Genomic DNA, 16,431 nt, shown 5'->3' with positions numbered 1-16,431 from the left:
CTACATCTTTGACGAATTGCCACACTGTCTTCCACAATGATTGAACTAATTTCCACTCCAACCAAAGTGTAAAAGTGTTCCTATTTCTCCACAGCCTTGCCAGCATCTGTTGTTTCTTCACTTTTTAATAATCACCATTCTGACTGGCATGAGATGGTATCTCATTGTGGTTTTGATTTGCATTTCTCTACCAATCAGTGATGTTGAGTTTTTTTCATGTTTGTTGGCTGCATAAATGTCTTCTTTTGAGACGTGTCTGTTCATGTCTTTTGCCCACTTTTTAAGGTTTTTTTTCTTGTAAATGTATTTAAGTTCCTTGTAGATTTTGGATATTAGACCTTTGTTAGATGGATCGATTGAAAACATTTTCTCCCATCTTGTAGGTTGTCTGTTCACTCTGATGATAGTTTCTTTTCTTTTGTGCAGAAGCTCTTTAATTATGTCCCATTTGTCAATTTTTGCTTTTGTTGTGGTTGCTTTTGATGTTTTTGTCATGAAATCTTTGCCTGTGCTTAGGTCCTGAATGGTATTGCCTAGATTTTCTGCTAGAGTTTTTATAGTTTTGGGTTTTACATTTAAGTCTTTAATCCATCTTGAGTTAATTTTTGTATAAGGTGTAAGGAAGGGATTCAGTTTCAATTTTCTGCATATGGCTAGCCAGTTTTCTCAGCACATTTATTAAATAGGGAATCCTTTCTCCATTGCTTGTTTTTATCAGGTTTGTTAAAGATCAGATGGTTGTATATGTGCAGTCTTATTTCTGAGATCTCTGTTCTGTTCCATTGGTTGATGTGTCTGGTTTTGTACCAGTACCATGCTGTTTTGGTTACTGTAGCCTTGTAGTATAGTTTGAAAGCCTCCAGCTTTGTTCTTTTTGCCTAGGATTGTCTTGGCTATATGGGCTCTTTTTTGGTTCTATATGAATTAAAAAATTTTTTTTCTAATTCTGTGAAGCATGTCAATTGTAGTTTAATGGGAATAGCATTGAATCTATAAATTACTTTGGACAGTATGGCCATTTTCAGAGTATTGATTCTTCCTATCCATAAGCATGGAATATTTTTTCATTTGTTTGTGTCCTCTCTGATTTCCTTGAGCAGTGGTTTGTAGCTCTCCTTGAAAAGGTCCTTCACTTCCCTTGTTTTCTGTATTCCTAGGTATTTTATTTTCTTTGTAGCAATTGCGAATGGGAATTCATTCATGATTTGGCTGTCTGTCTATTTGTGGTGTATAGGAATGTTTGTGATTTTTGCACATTGATTTTGTATCCTGAGACTTTGCTGAAGTTGCTTATCAGCTTAAGAAGCCTTTGGGATGAGACTGTGGGGTTTTCTAGATATAGGATCATGTCATGTGCAAACAGAGACAGTTTGACTTCCTCTGTTCCTATTTGAATACCCTTCTCTTGCCTGATTGTCCTGTCCAGGACTTCCAATACTATGTTGAATAAGGGTGGTGAGAGAGGGCATCCTTGTTTTGTGCCAGTTTTCAAGGGGAACAGTTTCAGCTTTTGCCCATTCAGTATGATACTGGCTGTGGATTTGTCATAAATGGCTGTTATTATTTTGAGGTACATTCCATCAATACCTAGTTTATTGAGAGTTTTTAACATGAAGAGATGTTGAATTTTATTGAAGGCCTTTTCCGCCTCTATTGAGATAATCATGTGGGTTTTGTCTTTAGTTCTGTTTATGTGATGGATTACACTTATTGATTTGCATATGTTGAACCAGCCTTGCATCATGGGGATGAAGCCGACTTGATTGTGGTGGATAAGCTTTTTGATGTGCTGCTGGATTCGGTTTGCCAGTATTTTATTGAGGATTTTTGCATTGATGTTCATCATATCCCTTTGATGTTTTTAAGATACAACTTATAATTTTTAACTCGAACTCTCATTTTCTAGGGAAGGCAGAGAAAATCCATCAAGTTGTACCCTACCCACCCTTTGGTGACTTTTCCAAGAAGCTGGGCTAAGTTCCAGGAGAAAGCTCTGTAAGTTGACAAGCGCATCTGACATATTATAATTATGTTTTGGTGGTGGTTGTTCCTGTTTTTTTATTGTTATTCCAGATTAGATGAATGGGACAAGGAGAGTAGCTCTTAGCATAAAGAAGGGAATGGTGATGATTTTGAGTTATTTCAGATGTAATCCTAGGATGTGCTGGAAGCAGCAGGAGAGAGAGGAGAACTCATAAGCAACTCTGAATCATCTCATTGGCAGATAGTGATAAAATGGTTGGTGGTAGAATGAGACCAAGACACACTGATGGATTATGAGTTCTCTTTAGATGTGTTGAATGTAAATAGTTTTTGAGAATCCCACTTGGAGAATACCTGTAAGCGCCTGCAAATATAAATTGGGAATGCAAATGAGAAGTGTGGTTGGGGATGCAGATTTTTTTTTTTTTTTTTGAGACAGAGTTTCGCTCTTGTTGCCCAGGCTAGAGTGCAATGGCACCATCTCGGCTCATCGCAACCTCCGCCTTCCAGGTTCAAGCGATTCTCCTGCCTCAGCCTCCTGAATAGCTGTGATTACAGGCATGCACCACTACACCTGGCTAATTTTGTATTTTTAGTAGAGACGGGATTCCTCCTTGTTGGTCAGGCTGGTCTCGAACTCCTGACCTCAGGTGATCTGCCTGCCTCGGCCTCCCAATGTGCTGGGATCACAGGTGTGAACCACCGCACCTGGCCAGAGATGCAGATTTGATGGTCATCCTCAGATGCAACAGATGAAACCCTGGGAATGAATGGAATTACACAGCCAAGGTTGATACATGGTAAAACAAAGCAGCTGAGGAGAATTTTCAAGGGATACCAATGTTCAGGGGTGTGTAGCAGAGGAGCCAAACATGGACAGCAAGAAACCACAGAAAGGAGAGGGCAGAGTAGCAAAAGCCCAGGAAACTGTAAAGGAGGAGGTGTCCATAGTGTAAAATGGTGCAGACCTGAGACAAGGCATTCAATCTGGCAGCCATCAGCTCATTTGATGGCTTTTGAGAAGTCTGTTTCAGTAGGGAGGAGGAGAAGAAAGCCAAAATGCAGAGCGAATGACAGGTGAAGTGCAAGAAGTCAATAGAGGCCACTCTCTGGAGAAGTTTAGCAATAAAGAGGAGAAGTTAGGGCAGCTGACTATAGAAAAGGTGTGGACAAAGAAAGGGTTGGTTTAGCATTGTTTATGGATTATCATTGTTTATGGTTTGTCATTGTTTTCTTTTTTAATGTGGAGGAGACTTGAGAATGACTTTAAACTGAGGAAGGATCAAAGAAAAGGGAAGAAAATGAAGATATAGAGCCAAAAAGAAAAATCTTAAGGGATAATTGATGGAGCTTGGTCCTAGCAGAGGTAGAAGGGCTTAGATGAGAATGGGATCTAGTTAACCCTGGACAAGAGTTCTTGCGAATCAGTAGAGCAAGAAGAGAAGAAAATACATGGGTGTCCTAGAGGAAAAGATGAGAGCTTAGAATCTTTTTGTAGCCCCATGACACTTATTACACATTTAATAATTTTGCTCTCTATATCTGTGAAAAGAGTAAATAGTAAACCACGAATGATAATCATTGCTCTCAAAGTAAGTCACACCAAAATTTCTATGCACCTTGCCCCAAAAAAAGATGTTTCCCCTAGTGTAGCAAGAAAGTGAACCTAATGTTCATAATATTCCTACATGATATAACTTTGTGTCCCTCAAAAAATATATGGTGACTTTCTGTTTAATTTTGCTATTAAATATCTGAATGGGACCTGCCCAGTACATCTAATTCAAATCAAAGAAATTTTGACAGGACTTTACCAAAACCAAGCATGCCTGCTCAAAGAAAGCTCATGAAAAGGGTTATGAAACAATTAATCGACCACAGGTAAAGCCCTTCCATCTGTTCCACCTACCCCACCTTCAGTGTGAAAGGCCTCGGTCTCTTCAGCCATCTGGAGAAAAAAAGAAGAAAAAGCTAAAAATAGTGGGCTGCAACCAAAATGAAAGTATCTAAATGTTGGTAACAGTGTTTGAAGAGGAAAGGGCATGTTCCTTTGAGTGGTTTCCAATCTAGGTCTCATGGCCTGAAATGTCTGCCTAACTTCTGATTTAAAGAGAACAGAAATAAATACTGGCTCTTAGAAAGAAGGTGCCTTGATTGGGGTGAGCACATAAAACAATGGAAAAAGTGACAAAAGCTGCTTTTGTCTTACCTTTTGTTTTCTCTTTTCATTATTAAACTGTAAAAGTAATGCCTGTCTGCTTAAGAAATAAATTCAAGTTACAGACATATATAAAGTAGGGATCAACCACCTCCCATCCCTACTGCCACTCTAGCACCTCTTCCCACATTTTGATGTGAGGAATTTATTGCTTTACCTTTCCAAATTTGCATGTATGTGTGTTTATAAAAATGGGATCTTACTATTCTCCAACTTGACTTTTTTTCTTTTCACTATATACTATGGAAATTTTTCCATGTCCGTGCACATGGATTCTTCCTTGTTCTTTTGACGGCTACAGAAAACTACTCTTTTATTGCTCCATAATTCATTTAGTCAGTCCCCCATAAGAGGATCATTTAAACTATCTCAAGACTTTTTACCACAGAAAAAGCTGCTGTAAACATCTCTGTACATACATCTTTGTGGTCTTGTTGTTTCTTAAATAAATTCTTAGAAGTGAAGGCAAATTGCTGGCTTAAAGGGTGTGTACCTTTTCAGTTTTGATGACAATTTCCAGACTGTCCTCCAAAAAATGTCATACTAGCTTATCCTCCTATCAACAGTTTTTAAGAGTGCCTTTTTCCTCATGCCCCAGACACTACTGAGTGTTAATACTCTTTAAATATTTCCTTGCTTATAGATAAAGGTACTTTCTTTGAGCAGAAGGTTAGGGATATTAAGGGAACTTCCCTTCTAGAAAAGTAGCAGGAGGATCATATGTTAAGATTTAAGAGAAGGGAGGGAGATGAACGTGTCAGGACTAGGAATGCTTTAGGAGATAGCCACTTGGGTGGAGTGGAGCAGGAGCTGACCCACAATGTCCAGGCATCTAAAAAGCCCAGAGAAAATTGGGGAAAAAATGTCAAAAAGTTTTTATGAAGTCAATATAGTTAGTTATGTGACTTCTCTAGTTTGGGAACAAGAACAAAAAAAAAATGAGAGACAGGGTCACCCAGGCTGGAGTGCAGTGGTGTGATCATGGCTCACTTCAGCCTTCACTTCCTAGGCTCAAGCCATCCTCCCGCGTCAGCCTCCCAAAGTGTTGGGATTACAAGTGTGAGCCACCGCACCTGGCTGGGAAAAATTTAAGGTTGGAATCCATCAGTATATTAAAATTGAGTGGTCTGGTGAGAAATAGAAACTTCTCATAGTTAAATGATTGCACAAAGGTTTGACTTGAGACCAAAGAGAAATGAGTCAAAGAGAAGGACTGATGGGCTAGAAGAAAATAGAAGTTTCGAAGATCACAGCTGGCCAGGCACGGTGGCTCACTCTTCTAATCCCAGCACTTTGGGAGGCCGAGGCGGGCGGATCATGAGGTCAGGAGTTTGAGACCAGCCTGGCCAACACAGTGAAACCCTGTCTCTACTAAAAGTACAAAACTGAGCTGGGCGTGGTGGCAGGTGCCTGTAATCCCAGCTACTCAGGAGGCTGATGCAGGAGAATCGCTTGAACCCAGGAGGCGGAGGTTGCAGTGAGCCGAGATCATGCCACTGCACTCCAGCCTGGGTGACAAAACTAGACTCCATCTCAAAAAAAAAAAAAAAAAAATCACAGCTAAATCACAATCAAGTTAGAGGCAAGGTTTAAGGGGAGTGAGAGAGTTAGAGCAGTGGTCAGAGAGTTGGTGATGATTAGCGAGAAGCATTTCCGAGTTCAAAATTTCAACAAGGCGTGGAACAGCTGCTGGCTATGATGGGGTGTGGGGAGCAGACAGGTCCTGAAGTGAATTGGAGCTGAAGGTTTCTGAAGAACAGCAGGTAAAGCCATGACAAAGGGGTGCTATGTGGGTCATGTATCAGGGATGGCAAGATAGGGTGGAGCCATTCTGCAGGTCACCTGCAGAAATCCCAAGGCCTGATTGAGTATGCTTGAATGAGTGAATGTTCTGGATGCTGAAGGGTTGATGGAGAAGAGGGAGCAGCAGAGCAAGAAACAAGAGCTTCATTGAGGGAGGGCTGGTTGAGCGGCTGGCTTCACTCAAGGGTCAGGAGGTGACTGTGAAGGACGCACAGACTACCAGCCACCCATAGGTACAGGTGTTGGGAGGGAGAGGGTGGAGAGAAGGAAGCTTCCTCTTTGGTAAGGAGTGTTTGAGGAAAAAGCTGATGATCTCAGGACATCAAGAAATATATTGTGAATCCCACAAGGCAGTCACTGGAAGCTGGAGAGGAAAAGTGTTGATTAGGATTTCTATCAGGCAATTTGGGGACACTGAAATGATTGAATGTGAATCAAGGGAATTAGGAATCAGGGCATCCGAGAATGGATAAAAGGAAGGAATGGTCCACATGGAGCTTCCCAGTGAAGGTGTACTGGTGCCTCTCCATGGTGGTGCTGCGGGGAGGAGGTGTGAGAGTGAGACCATCAAGTCCCTCCATTCTGCAGGGAGTGGGGAGACTGTGTATCTGGCTGGTAGCCTCTGCATACTCATGCATGTCCTTCCATCGACTCACTACATGACCTTGTAAAAGTTACCTACATTCACTTAGCCTCCATTCTCTCTTCACAAATAAGAGTAATCATAGTATGCATCTCATGAGGCTGTTTGAGGATTAAACATAGCATGTTAGACATGAAACATGTATTACTGGAACACAGTAAATATGCAATCAATTAAACTATAATTACTCACATTGTAGAAGGTTTTAAAATATATATCCATTTTGAAGGGGAAAGTTTTCAAAATATTGTAAATTCTAAGTAACAAATACAATGGGCACATGGAAAAATCTCTCAACACACAAATAGAACCTTCTTATGTGGACACGACAGCGATCCTAGTAAAAACAACTATCTCCATGGTTTTCACGGCTTCTCTTACACAAAATCAAGTATAGAAATTCATACATTAAATCTCTTAAAATGCAAATTTTTTCTGCCTTATATATGCAGATATTTAAGTTCATGTTGTCTTCTGGTTTATATTCAGTCTCACTATTTTAAAATAAAACCAAATTATATCACATAAGAACAACTGGGAACCATTTATCTTCAATTCTATACACGAAAAGTATCAGTTCTGTGTATGTTAGCTGTTCAAAGTTATTCTCCACAGTCTTTTTTGTGGATGATTTAATGAAGACATTCTTACCACGTTTCTGCTATCCCTGTACTTGGGTTAGTTTTGCAGGCTGACCGGGTGGAAGTCAGATAAATTCCCTCCATTCCTAGAAAGACATTCTCCAATTAGCTTAACACTAGTCCCTTAGATTGGTGTCTTAGCTTCAATGGTAGCACTAGACCAGATATGTAACTTTTCTTTATATCACCCTGGGTTTTAGTGTGTTCAGTTATTTTTTTCCCTGCCCAGGTCATTCATTTCCTGCTTAATATTTTTAGCAAAGCAGTGACATTTTGGCAATATTGACTTCTAAAAGTAAAAGCTCATCTAACATTTAATCTCTTAGCGTTTGTAAGGAGTCCACATGCTGGGCTGTTTCAGGTATTGGTGCCCGTGTTTGCTATGTTCCCTCTGTCCTTTCTGCCTTGCTTCTCCCAGGCTAACATTTGCTAATCCCTGAAGGTTCAATTCAGGGATTTTCCTCAAAGCTTTCCCTGAAACCCTAAATTGAGCTAAGTGCCCCTTGCCTGGTTTCCTAAAAGGTGATCACATTATGTTGACATGACATGATCCTCTAATGGGTCCGTCTGTCCTGCTGGATGGTTAGCATCCTTGAGAGCAGGGACCTTACTTCATCTTTGTTCTCCCAACAACCGATAGACACTTTAGACACAGGGCCGATGGCCTATAAAAATGTTTGAAATCAGAAATACACAGTTGCACCTGAACAACATTGGTTTGAACTGTGTAGGTCTACTTATACATGGATATTTTTCAATTAATATATTGGAAAAATTTTTGGAGATTTTTGACTATTTGAAAAAACTCACGGAAATATCAAAAAATTCGGATTTTAATTAATGCATAAAATATATGTAAAGGTTGGTCTATTTTATAATTCACTACCCTAAAATATACACAAATCTATTACAAAAATATAAAATTTATCAAAACTTATGAACAGAAACACTTAGAGACCACATGGCACCATTCACAGCAGAGAGAAATGTAAACAAACATAAAGATGCAGTATTAAATCATAACTGCATACAATTAACTGTAGTACACTTTGTACTAATGTAATAATTTTGTAGCCACCTCTTGTTGCTAGTGCAATGAGCTCAAGTGTTTCAAGTATCAGCTTAAAATAGCTATGAGGCTAATTATCTCCACCTGAGCAGTTCATCTCTCCAGTAAATTATGTGTCATAGTAAAAAAGTGATTTCCAGCAGTTCTTGCATATTTTGTGTGTAGCGCAATACTGTAAGCCTTAAATAACATCATGGGATCCATACAAAGTGTCACTAATGATGCTGGAAGTACTCCCAGTAAGCAAAGTCATGATATTACAAGAAAAAGTTGAATTACTTGATATGTACCATAGATTTAGGTCTGCAGCTGCAGCTGCCCTCCAGCATAAGGACCATTGTAAAAAAGAAGAAAAGGAAATTCATGAAGGCGTCACTGCATCTACTCAAGCTGCTGCAAAAACCTTGTACTTTTGGTGAACTACCTTTTTATCTTGTATTAAAAATGCAGCTTTTATGTGGGTATAGGATTGCTCTAAGAAAGGCATCTCTAATATAGTTTGAGAAAAAGTGAAGTCATATATGAAAACTTAAAGAAAAAGGAAGATGAAGGATCTAAAGCCAGAGAATTTAGTGCCAGCAAAGGATGGGTCGATAATTTTAGAAAGAGGTTTGGCTTTAAAAATATCTTAGTTGGCAGCTTCTGCCAACTAAGAGGCAGTAGGTGAGTTTCAAGACACCACTAAGAAAAGTATTGAAGAGAAAGGATAGCTGCCTAAACAGGTTTTTAATGCAGATGAAAATGCCCCATTCTGGGAAAAAAGATACCACAAAGGACATTTATTCATAAAGAAGAGAAATGAGCACCAAAATGTAATAGGAAAGGATTATCTAACTCCAATGTTTTGTGCAAATGCAGTGAGGTTTATGATCAGGTCTGCTCTTGTCTATAAAGCTGCAATCTCTGAGCCTTGAAGGAAAAAGGTGAACACCAGCTGCCAATCTTTTGGTTGTACAAGAAGACCTGGACAACAAGCACCCTTATTCTGGATTAGTTCCATCAATGCTTTTGTCCATGAAGTCAGGAGGTACTTTTCCAGTAAGGGACTGACTTTTAAAGTTTTCTTTTTATATTGGACAATGCCCCTGGCTACCCAAAACCCCATGAGTTCCATGTCAAAGGTGTTGAAGTGGTCTACTTGCCCCCAAACACAATGTCTATAATTCAGCCTCTAGATCGGGGGTCATAAGGACCTTTAAGGCTCATTGCACATGGTTCTTTATGGAAAGGATTGTCAATGCTGTGGAGGAGAACCCCAGCGGAGACAACATCATGGAGGTCTGGAAAGATTACACACCACTGCAGATGTCATCTTTGCTACAGGAAAAGCCATGAAAGCCATCAACCCTGAAACAATAGCTGGAGAAAACTGTGTCTGGATGTTGTGCATCAGCCAAACAAGGAAACCATGAAAGAGATTGTAGATATGCAAAATAAGAACAGGGGCAAAGGGTTTCAAGGTGTGAATCTTGGAGAAAGATTCAAGAGCTAATAGACACCACACCAGAGGAATTAGCTGAACACAAGTTGATGGAGATAAGTGCTTCCGAACCAGTGCCAAATAATGAGAAAGATGTAGAAGTAGTGCCAGAAAACACATTGACATTAGACAATCTGGAAGAATGGTTTCAATTATTCAAGACTGATTTTGACTTCTTTTATGACATGGACCCTTCTATTATGCAGGCACTGAAACATGCAAATGGCGGAAGAAGGACTGGTACCACGTAGAAACATTTTTAGATAAACAAAAAAGAAAAAGTCAGACAGAAATTATGCATTTCCATAAAGTTACACCGAGTGTGCCTTTCTCTCCTGACTCCCCTTCCACCTCCTCCAACTCTTTCTCCTCTGCCACCCGAGACAGCAAGACCAACCTCTCCTCTTCCTCCTCCTCCTCAACCTATTCAAAATGAAGACTTTTATATTATCCACTTCCACTTAATGAATAGTAAATATATTTTCTCTTCCTTATGATTTTCTAGTATTTTCTTTTCTCTAGCTTACTTTATGGAAATAATATAGTATATAATACATATAATGCATAATGTATGCTCATGAACTATTTATGTTATTGGTAAGGCTTCCAGTCAACAGCAGTCTATTAGTAGTTCAGTTTTGGGGGAGTCAAAAGTTATATGTGGATTTTTGACTGTGCATGGGGTCAGCACCATTATCCCTTGTGTTGTTCAAGGAGCAACTGTAAATGCTTGGGCTCAAAATATTAAAAGAAACCACAAAATATAAATTAGTAATTGTTTTATGGAATGTCTTCAAAGTGTAGCATTAAGTCAAAGTAGAACTCAAACAGTAGTTATATAAAAACATAAGGGTTAAGTCATGAGAACTAAATAATTCATTCTCAAAAACTCCTAAAAGTTATATAAATCACCTCAAAGTTACATTTAACATGGGAAACAGGGATAGCTGAATATGTCTGCTGCCTTATGATATGCTTTCCAAGAGAGGGCATGTCCAGGGCCAAAAGCAACCCACAAACACAGTATCTGGAACCCAGTAGGAACTCACAAATGTTTGTTGAGATGTTCCTGTTTATCTCCAATTTAATTCTGCAAGCATAGCTCAGAGCTTCTTATAGCCCAGCCATACTATGTTATTATATAATAAATATTTCTTCCTTCAAGGAGCTTGCAACATAGTAGTTGGGAAGACAAACTCATATAAGCTGGCTAAAAATGACATTTCCGTTTGAGTTCACTTTATTTTTCATATTTTATTTATCCATCCCATTGAGAAAACTTCCAGTCATGAACACAGCTATTCATGACACAGCTATTCAGCTCTTCCAATAGGACTACACAGCCCCAGCTTTGTAGGCAAAACTTTCTGAGCAAATTTAATTTTTTGTTTACATTTTCTATGATGAAATGCAATTGGTGAACACCCTTACATTGCCAGAAGTCCATGGAAACATTTAGTGAAGACCACAGATCTAGGAAGACCCACATTTCTGAATAAGACACTCTTAAAGGTGCTCCATCCTTGTATAAGCTGTCAGTATATCTCTTTTTGTAGTTTGCCACTTGTAATAATAATAAATGTACATCTCTGGACACTTCTACTGCAGCACCTGATGAAAATTCTGGTTCCCTGTCCAAGACAACTCTCAATTTCACAATCATCACACTCATCCCCAACTTTTCCACACTCCTGTTAAAACCTAGCCCAAATTCCACTGCCTTCTGGAAGACTTTTCTGAATCTCTCCTCTCCAGCCTCAACAGAAGTGAACTATCTCGCACCCTCTCTGAACTACCCTACTACTTACTGTCTACTTTGAAATTATTCTGCAAGCTTGAATTCTCCCTTCACTTGATTATAAGGCCATTTTTGAAAGAGACCAATCCCATCTTGTTCATTATTCCCTTCCCCATTGTGTCTTGCGAGTATCCAGATTTCCATTAACAGCTGCTGAATATACAGACTGAGCTTGTGGGTTTAACTGAAATGTATATGCATAAGGGAGTATGGAAAGAGGAGCTGGTGCGTATCATCATCTTTACAATCAATTTTTCTTGTACTTTACAAGAAGGTATTCCCCACAACCAATTCTTAAAATTTTTTGAGGTAGACTTCTCATTTTGATGGTTTCGGTGTTTGTTCCCTTTGGGGTGTTGTTAATGCATTGAGATTATCAGTGAAACTAATCTATCATTTGGGCTAAGTAATTGCCAACATCCACACATTCTTAGAGGGAGTTGTATTTTATGGTGAACCACTTCCTTGCTTGACCTGCTTTAATGCATGTGATAGTGATTTCACTAATCTAGTTTGTCAGCACTCTCCAATACCCTGCTGGTCACTAGGGTGTTTTGAAAGCAACTGAAAATAGCCTCTTGCCTACTTCAGGCCTACTCAAATGCATATCTCCTGTAAAGAGCCCTGTAATCTGGGCCCTTCTCTTCTATAAGGTCTTGGCTACTTTCTCAGCAGCCAAGGTGGGGCAAGATGGGGAAGTTGAAGAGAACTTGTATGGTAGAACTTCATGCAAGAAGCCATGCTGCAAAGATCCTGTCTTCTTAAGAATAATGTCCTAAAATAATTTCCCCTATTTTCCACCTACTACCAGTTCAATATTTATCAAACTTTTCTCTTTCCCATATAACCTTTCAGATTTTTACATTTTCTGTGTATCACCTATTTTTTTTTTACTTAATCATTTTCTTCATTTCCTCTTTCTACTTAAGTAAAGCCTCACCTTAGTCCCCCTGCATCCCCCCAAAATTTATAGTGCAGGGGCAGCTGGGGCTTTCTGAGTCCCTCCACTTCTTCCCTCAGATTTTCCCCTCAGATTTTTTCCTCAGACTCACTATCATGGCCACAGAACCTTGCACACAACAGGGGTTCTGTAAATAGTGGCAGAATGAGTGAATCTGTTGGCATCCCTGAGGAGGCCATGATCAGCTTTCCATTCCTCCTTTTGCCAAGTCTAGGTTGCAAACACCCTGAAACTGGTGGTCTTAGTATGATGACTGGGAACTTATAAAGTCATAAGTCTCATTTCATAATAATATAAAAAGAATTTATCTTCATTTTATTTATGTTGAACTCTGCTAAAAGGTAAAAAATGGACTTGTGTGCCTCCCTCCAAATTTACACACACACATACACTCACACATACACACATTTTAAAAAACTGTCACAGCAATTAAAATAAATAAAAACAGAGCCTAAGAAGATCACTAGTAAAGTAGGATGGAGCTGTTCTCCCTCACGGCTCGAATTGTTTGCTTTGGTGACCAACCCGCACTAGTAAACAACCTGAAGTACAAGTTCAGCCTTTTCATGAGCCAAATTCATCACTTTTGAGACTAAAATTCATGTTCAGATTTGCTGACACTATTTAGACAGCTTATGTAACAACACTCAACTCTGTTGGGTAGATTGGCTAATGGTGATTAACCTCCTTGGTATAGAAGATTTTAGATTAAAGCAGAATTTTAAATTACAATAACTAGCTGATGGAGTTTTGCAGAACAAATTTTAAAATCCCCAAGCCACAAATGTAATATTTGCATTATACACACGCTCCTTTCATTCCCTTGAATTGATAACACTTCGCAATCACAAGATTTGGCCTGGGAGAAAATAAACGAGCTTTTCAGCAGTGCAAGCTGATGACCAACTTTGTTTACTGATCAGTCATAAAAGTTTTTATGAACTTCATCTCGCACCCACAACACCTTGTAAAGTGACCCTCTCACTATGTGAACACAACGAATGTCTACAGAGGAAAGAACCACGTATTATGAGGATTAACTACTGGAATGGAATGTGTCTATTAATAGCTCATAGTAGGCACTAAATAATGGCAACCAAATTCAACAACACTCACTAAACAGAAATGGGGAGGTGGGATGGTAAAGGGGAAGTTTAACTGAGCTTGGAAGGGGTTAATATTCAGGGTTGAGAGAATCTGCCCTTAGGAATCTTTCAAGAAGACAGGGATCCTGCCCAAATGCCATTGCAGTGCCAAGGGTAGGGAGCCTAGCCAAAGCTGAAGTTGGGCATACCCACGCCACTGCCTTCAGGCCATCATTCCGTGCATTGGAATGCTCCAGGTGACACACAGGAGAACCTTGTTTACTGTTCTTGACCCAAGGCTTGAGATCCTTCTGTGGGCAAATGCCTGCACATCACCTCTGTATCATGTGAGTGAAGGACTCTGAGTCCCTGGTATTTGCAATAATCGATCTCATCCTACACTTGTCCTTCCAAGCCAGTGTTTCTAAGAGTGGTCCTGATCTGTGATCACTCCTGGAACATCGGTTAAAAAGTGCAGATCCCAAGGACCCAAGCTAGACTTGTGAATCAGAATTTCTGGAGATAAGGCCCAGGAATTTGTTCAACAAGCTTCCATAGTAGTTCCAGGCATATGGAACCTTTTGAAATTCACTGCTCTCGGAGAAAACCCATGCTTTTTGCATTTTTTTTAAATGGAAAAATGTTGCTAGAGACTTTTAGCTGGAAATATAAGAGAAGATAATAACAACACAGTAATAATAATGGGCGGAGTCATGGGGAGGGGTCGTTTGAAGCTCTATTTGAGAACCTGCTGGCATTGGTGTTGTTGGCCTGTCTCAGCCACCCTGATGCTCAGGTAGGAACTCCTGAAAAAAAAAAATGTCTGGGCCGCGCCCTATGAGACCATTGAAAGGTCTGGGATGTCCATTCATCCTTGGGGTCACCTATGCCACAGGAAGTTCTGGACAAGAACTTCCCAACAATCCATAAGCGGACGCCACGAGGCGCGAAGCGCGTTGGTGGCCACACGCAACTCCAGGCAGCCCAACCCTCCCGCTACCTTCTGCAACTGCAGTCAGCTCCCAAAAGTGAACTGGCACAAAAAGGTGGGACTTCCGGCCCTGGAAGCCAATGCGCATGTGGCAGTCAACCGGTTACGCAATACTTCCTGTCGCGTGATCCTGAGGACCAATGAAAATGCATAATTGCAGTCCACGTGCCTCGGTTTCCGTTAGCAACCAGAGGCTTCTAAACAACCTACCCTCCTTCCCCATTTTCTGTGGTCCAACTACCCTCGGCGATCCCAGGCTTGGCGGGGCACCGCCTGGCCTCTCCCGTTCCTTTAGGCTGCCGCCGCTGCCTGCCGCCATGGTGAGTAACCGACCCTCAGGCGCCGCACCGCGCACAGGAGAGAGCGCGGCCGGGGCTGGAGACACTGAGCGGGTGGGCCCGGAATGATTACGTGGCCTCGTTGGGTCTGGCCGCACCTCAGCCTCCCTGAGAAGGGGAGCTGCGCCGGGCGCGAGAGATTCGGTTAACCGCAGCCCAAGCCCTTCTGGGGTAATCCTGGGTGAAGCCTTTTCCCAGCAGCCCAGCTCCGCCGCATCGCTTCGTTTCTCTCCTGCCTGCGGGGGCTGGAGCCAAGGCACAACTCTTAGGTGGCAGGTGAGGAGAGATAGAGGAAACTGCTGCCGGCCTAAGGTGCACGGCAGGGTTCTTAACTCTATTTCAAGAAGCTCCAAGTTTACGCACACACACACATTAACACATACGCAGGGTTCTCACTCAGTTTCAGGAAGCTCTAAGGTTTACACAGACACACGCGCGCGCGCGGTAACCAGAGGAGCAGGGAGAACGAATCCAGCTTTCTGTGTGATTGAAATCCAACTTTCTGATGTGGAGGTGACTTTAAGAATCCCAGCACCCCGTATTACAGCTGAGGAATTTGGGTGACATTTCCTTTGTTTTGGCTTGCTCAAAAAATATCATTAATCCCTCCAGCGAATATAGCATGCCATCTTAAATACCAGTCATACTTAGAACAGTGCACAGCACTGAAATGTTCAGGAAAACGGATGAAACCAGGGTTGAGAGCACCACCTGAAATAGCTACTGAAATACTTCAGCAACCAGAATTTCTATTTAGTCCACACTGTGTTCCAAGCGCTGTCTGGGAGCTGAGAAGACACCTGTGAGCTAAACAGATTGCTCCCTCCCCTTCTTGAGTTTAGAGCCTCTCCACTCATTCTCTTGATTTCCCTAAAATATCAGGAGAACACGTTGAAAACAAATCACAAAAAAATTGGTATCTCTTCCTGTTCTATCTTCTGTCATTCCTTTCCATCAGTTAACAACTGAGGCTTTGGAATCAGGCTCAGGTTCTTCATTAGTAAATTGCAGATAATAACTACACAAGACTGTTAATATGATAAGTAAGATAATGCGTGTAAACAGTGCAGTACCTGTGAAAATATTAAGCATTCAGTATCTGATAGGTATTATTAAACTGTGCTCATTTTTATCATTACAGTTTCCTCCTTGTACTTATCTTAAATTGTATATGGATTTGTGGGCATGGTTAAGAACAGGGAACCCTTTCTGGTACCTTACCCATTTCTCTTCTATCCCCTTCCCCCTAAACACACATACACAATTTGTGGTACAATTTCAAGACACTAGCTTGGCAATGCTCTGGCAGGATTTCTTGCTGTATGTTTTCAGCTCTTTTTATTATTATTTTAACGGAATATTTCTACAATAAAATTCAAACAAATTCTGACTTCCCCACTTGGATACCTCCCATTGTTTCT

The 16,431-nt window shown here is 40.7% G+C and overlaps 1 protein-coding gene across 20 annotated transcripts in view; it reads left to right on the top strand.

Moving 5' to 3' along the window:
• LZTFL1 (leucine zipper transcription factor like 1) overlaps positions 1-16,431 on the top strand; it is a 92,409-nt gene that overhangs the window by 58,744 nt on the left and 17,234 nt on the right. For 7 of the 20 annotated variants that reach the window (NM_001276379.2, NM_001405921.1, NM_001405927.1 and 4 more), the window contains one exon: positions 1,907-1,995. The exons of 2 other annotated variants lie outside the window; for them this stretch is intronic. In NM_001276379.2, coding sequence (NP_001263308.1) covers positions 1,907-1,995 — 89 coding nt within the window. Of the gene's footprint in view, positions 1-1,906; positions 1,996-2,443; positions 15,287-16,431 lie in introns of those variants that run through there. 11 more of the 20 variants (NR_175976.1, NR_075080.2, NM_001405928.1 and 8 more) reach the window with 4 other exon arrangements.

This window comes from Homo sapiens, chromosome 3, assembly GCF_000001405.40.
Source record: "Homo sapiens chromosome 3, GRCh38.p14 Primary Assembly".
In the NCBI taxonomy this organism is placed as follows: domain Eukaryota; kingdom Metazoa; phylum Chordata; class Mammalia; order Primates; family Hominidae; genus Homo; species Homo sapiens.
Note: the sequence above shows the minus strand (reverse complement) of the source record. Positions and strands in the feature narration are given on the sequence as shown.